The 5,133-nt window shown below is 35.4% G+C and overlaps 1 annotated feature.

Moving 5' to 3' along the window:
• Positions 1,391-1,560: an enhancer, noted in NCBI's record as "experimental_39017 CRE fragment used in MPRA reporter constructs". NCBI's record gives its function as "activates a minimal promoter by MPRAs in K562 erythroleukemia cells, with activity observed for the non-introgressed 14:99230165 variant allele {active_cell/tissue: K562}" and the evidence as "EXISTENCE:reporter gene assay evidence [ECO:0000049][PMID:34662402]".

The following is a 5,133-nucleotide window of genomic DNA, read 5'->3' on the forward strand; positions in this document are numbered from 1 at the left end:
AAATATACCATGATATTTGTCAGCTGATAAAGAGATTTTGTTGTTGTTGTTGTTCTTGTTTAATACAACTGGTCAGTGTTTGGAGAGGGAAGATGAAGTAATTCTGACACATTCTGGTACATTTTTGGAAGAAATGTAAAGAAAAATTTGTAAATAGCAATTTCTAAACATAAATCAGAAGCCTGAAGAATGTTCATATCTATACCTGGTAATTTCATTTGTAGGCATCTGCCCCAAATAAAGAACCTCTTATATGGATGAAACATTATACCTTAAGATTTATCACAGAATTATTTAAAGTCCAAAATGAGAAACAACACAGCATTACAAGAATGATTAAACAAGGAGGGAGAATGGTCCATTTTAAAAGTGTATCGTATAGGTGCTTCAATCTTTATTGTTTCTGAAACAACATAAAATAAGGAGACTGAGAAAAAAACAAATTGTATCTTCCATAAAGCCAGGAAAGATGTTTTGAAAAGAAAACTGACCCAGCATACGTGAGGATGTTGAGACAGGACAGCTACCATAGCATAGCCAGGAAACCACGTATTCTTCAAAAAATAAGGAGGCTGAGAAAAAAACAAATTGTATCTTCCATAAAGACAGGAAAGATGTTTTGAAAAGAAAACTGACCCAGCATACGTGAGGTTGCTGAGACAGGACAGCTACCATAGCATAGCCAGGAAACCATGTATTCTTCAAAAAATAAGGAGACGATGGGACAGTCTCCACAGGCAACAGATCAACACTCAAATTTTTCCTCCCACCCTCAAGCTGACCTCAAGTTTACCTCCCTCTCCTGGCCTTTCTCTCACACATATTCCAGCAGCATGTAGCCCATCCAGGAGGAATGACCCTATTTGAAAACAAGGGAAAACCAAAGAGAAATAACCAACAAGGCAATCCTCCAAAATCCTAGGTATGGAGTAAGAAAAACATGGCAAAAGAGAGTAGGCAATAAACATACTTCAGAAAAAATTGGGTATTCAGGAAGACAACAGTGGACCCTAGCATTGACTCTTTAAAAGAAATTATGGCATTTATGAAATAAAAGATCAAAGCAGAAATATAAGAACCAAATTACAATAAAAGACAATGAAATAAAATTGAAAAAATGAATTGGCAAAGATCAAGACAAAATAGAAGAGAAAAATAAAAGTAAAATTATCAAATAAGTAAAGGCCATTTTGGAAGCAGTAAATAAGAAATAGACTTTGCCACAGCAATGATTTCAGCATGTAGGACATGCTTGAGGAAACTGAGGAAAATAAAATAGAAAAAAAGTTACCAAAAGTTTAAACTTATAGAAAAGAAAATGATGGATATAAAAATTGACAAAGGAGAACCAAGATATGTGAAATTGGTGACTGGATTAATGAGCAAAACAAATAGAACACTAAAATTACTTAAAGATGTGAAGTAAAGAAAATATTTTTGAAATAAAAATTTGAATCTACATATTGAAAGAACCAATTCCCAGATGAATTGAGGCAGATCCTTGAACAGAGAGGCACATTTTATACTTATTAAACCTCAAAAATACCAACAAAACTCTGTAGCTAGAAAGAAAAAGTCAATTCATCTACAAGAATAAAAACTAATAAGAATCCGCCTTTAAACTTTTCCCTGAAAGATTCAGTGCTATAAAAGAATGGAACAGTGTCTTCAGAGTCCTCAGGAAAAGTGTGATGCAATAATTTTATACCTAGCCAAAATGTTCTTATAGAGCAAGGCAAAAGATAGTCATTTTTAAACATTAACAACTCAAGAAAGAGATTCCATGATCTCTTCTTAGAGAAATTATTAAAAGCTATGCTGTCACCAATCCAGGAATAAAGGAAGACGATATTGTAAAAGAATTAAAGATTGTTATTAATTTAACCTAAATAATTAATTTTTAAAAATATTACACAGCTGTGGGGAAATTTTGCTATTGAATACAGTGTATACTCTCAACCATGACATGTAAACTATCAAAAATTGGAAGGAAAAGAAAGAGGGGGACAGATATTATATGAATGCCAAGCTCATCATCTTTTTTGGGGATGGTTGGACAATCAATATATATAATTTTAAAGCTAATAAATTCAGAAAAACATATAAATTATATTAAAAGTGTAAAGCATTCACTTGAAGAAATAAAATTATAGTACAACTAATCAAAACTAGTAGTACAGGAAGGAAGGGGGGACGATGGTGATTAGGGAGAGAAAATCAAGAACACCACAGTGTGTGTGTTTGAAAGGGGAAAGTCAATAAATTCTGCCTATAGAAGTAAAAATCCTGTGTGTTCTATACATTTATAGCTACAAACATAACTACTAGAAGAAATGAAAACACACAATAGTCCTTCCAAATGATTACTAATAGAAGAAACACAACCATATACAGCCACACTCATGCATACACACTCCAAGGCAGGTACTAACCTTAAAATGTCAGATAACGATAAATTCAAGGCACAGAGTTTTAAAGAAGTTAATGTAAGGCAATTTTTCTTGAGTAAAGAAGCCACAACTTTGGGAGGCCGAGGCGGGTGGATCATGAGGTCAGGAGATCGAGACCATCCTGGCTAACAAGGTGAAACCCCGTCTCTACTAAAAATACAAAAAATTAGCCGGGTGCAGTGGCGGGCGCCTGTAGTCCCAGCTACTCGGGAGGCTGAGGCAGGAGAATGGCGTGAACCCTGGAAGCGGAGCTTGCAGTGAGCCGAGATTGCGCCACTGCAGTCCGCAGTCCGGCCTGGGCGACAGAGTGAGACTCTGTCTCAAAAAAAAAAAAAAAAAAAGAAGCCACAATGAAGATGTGGCAGTTTTGAATAAGTATGCAACAATTAAAACTGCAGCAAAATCAATCAACAAAGATATAAGAAGTGTAAGAAGAGACAGAAAAAATACCGTTAGGAGATTTTAAGGCATCTCTCTCAGCCCATAAGAGTAGAAATTTAAATCAGATAAAGTAAAATAAAATGAAAGTAAGAATCTGCAATCATCTAAAATTAAAAATCTTTAAAAAACTAAAAAAAGTCAGTCAGGATACAGAAAAACTAAATAATGTAATATAATTTGTGGATATTTAATATACTATATATGAAGTGACAGAATTTATAGAATCGATTCGTATGCTTCTAAAACAGTCTGGGTTCAAAGCCACAACAACAGAAGCTATCTCTGGTTGATGAAGTACAACAAGGAGCTTGTTTGATAGTCAGGTCACAGAATTGCAAGCAGGTCTGAAGAACCACACTAGTGGACATGCTTACAGGAAAGATCCTCAAAATGATAATCATAAAGTGACCTGATAAAGAAATCTTCTTTCTTACCACTACAAATTCCACAAGCAGAAAAGCCCTTTCTGTCCCAGAAACTTTCTCTGCCTCACCTACTAGTCTCACATTCCTCCAATGGCTAACTTTTGCATTTTAAAAAATTTCTTTGATTTAAGGAATGCTCACTTCCAAACATGTATTTTATGAGTGATGCTTGGCCCAGATGCCTGAGTTTCAGCTGCAAAATACAGAATATCTATATAACATAAATTACAATTATACAAACACCAACCAACAAGCTATTGTTAAAACTACCTTCAGAACAAAATGCCTTAAAATAATTTAATTTTTTTATATTGCAAGGATAAATTAATAAAACTATAGGAAACATTCAATTGAAGAGGTAAGAGAAAAGGTAAATGCAAGAAATCTAATAGAAGCTGAGGCAGACAAAAGGAATGCAAATGATAAAAACAAAAAGTAATGAAATTGAAAATAGAAAATGATAGAAAGAATAAGTACATTTAAGAGCTTAACAACCAATAATTTTTTTAAAAAACCTTAAATAAGATAGTCAAGAATACAAATCTTTCTTTGAAAGTATAAATACCTACATGAAAATATGAATATCAAAAAACCCAGAAAAATAATAGAAATTAAAGACACATAAGAAAATAATTTGCTTAATGCTATGCAAATAAGCTTGAAATTCTTTACGAAATAGGTGGTTTTCTAAGAAATCATAAATAAACAAGTTGATCTCAGATGGATAGACTTTCTGCATATAAATAGTTCCGTAAAAGAAATTGAAGACTTTTTTTAAAAAGCTGCTCCTCCCAAAATCCCTGGCTGAGATAGTTCTACCAATGAAATCCTCAAATTTTAAGGTATGCATTACTTCAATGTTCTTTGACTCTTTGGGAGCATAGAGAAAGAAGAGAAGCTTCTAAATTCCTTTTGTGAAACCAGTCTACCATTGATTTTAAAACTGACAGAGAGGATAAAGTAAAACTACAGACGAATCTCACATATGAATATTGATGAAAAATCCTAAATAAAATATTAGCAAATAGACTCCAGCAGCACACTAAACTAGTTTGAAGATGGCAATCTGAGCTTCCCCCTCCCTGCACCCAATCCATAGAAATGATAGTAAAGCTATTTTGAAAACAAACAAATAAATTCATGCACTCAAAAACACAATGAGGGAGCTCTCAGACTTCCAGAGCAGAGTGAGAAAGCAAATGGAGAGAAATGCTGCTTCACCAGGGTGACTTGGACATGTTCCTTCCTGGAACGCCACTCCAATGACAGTGAAGTAATGTTTTTAAAGGCATAAGCCCACAAGGACAAAGAAGGCAGGCGTTGGGTTTATTACTGTGCAACTAAGCCTCCAAGTCTCAATGACTCAACACAAAAGAAGCAGATTTCTCAATCACAAAAAGTAGTGCTGGTGAAAGTGGGGGACTCAACTCCCAGACCTGCAGGGACCAAGTCTGTTGGGGGCTCAACAATCTCCGACATGTGACTCCCAAGGGGGCTCCGGGATGGGCATTCAGTGTGCAGATGAGGGAAGGGAGAAGGGAAAATGGCAAATAGGAAGTTGTGTGAGCCAGCTGTGGAAGTGATGTGCATCTTCCCTCCCTGCAGTCTACTGACCTCTACCCAGCTGCAGGGCTCTAAGTAGCTGCAAAGACTGCAGGAAAACAGAGTCTAGCCATGTGCTCTGGGAAAGGTGTGTGGAACACCTACCTAGTCCCAGCATGCTCCACCTTTCTGTACAGCTAATACCCATTTCACTTGTCTTTGCATACATAAAATATACTCAACTACACTCCCAGGTAAACAATCTCAAATCCAGT

Source organism: Homo sapiens, chromosome 14 (assembly GCF_000001405.40).
Source record: "Homo sapiens chromosome 14, GRCh38.p14 Primary Assembly".
Lineage (NCBI taxonomy): Eukaryota > Metazoa > Chordata > Mammalia > Primates > Hominidae > Homo > Homo sapiens.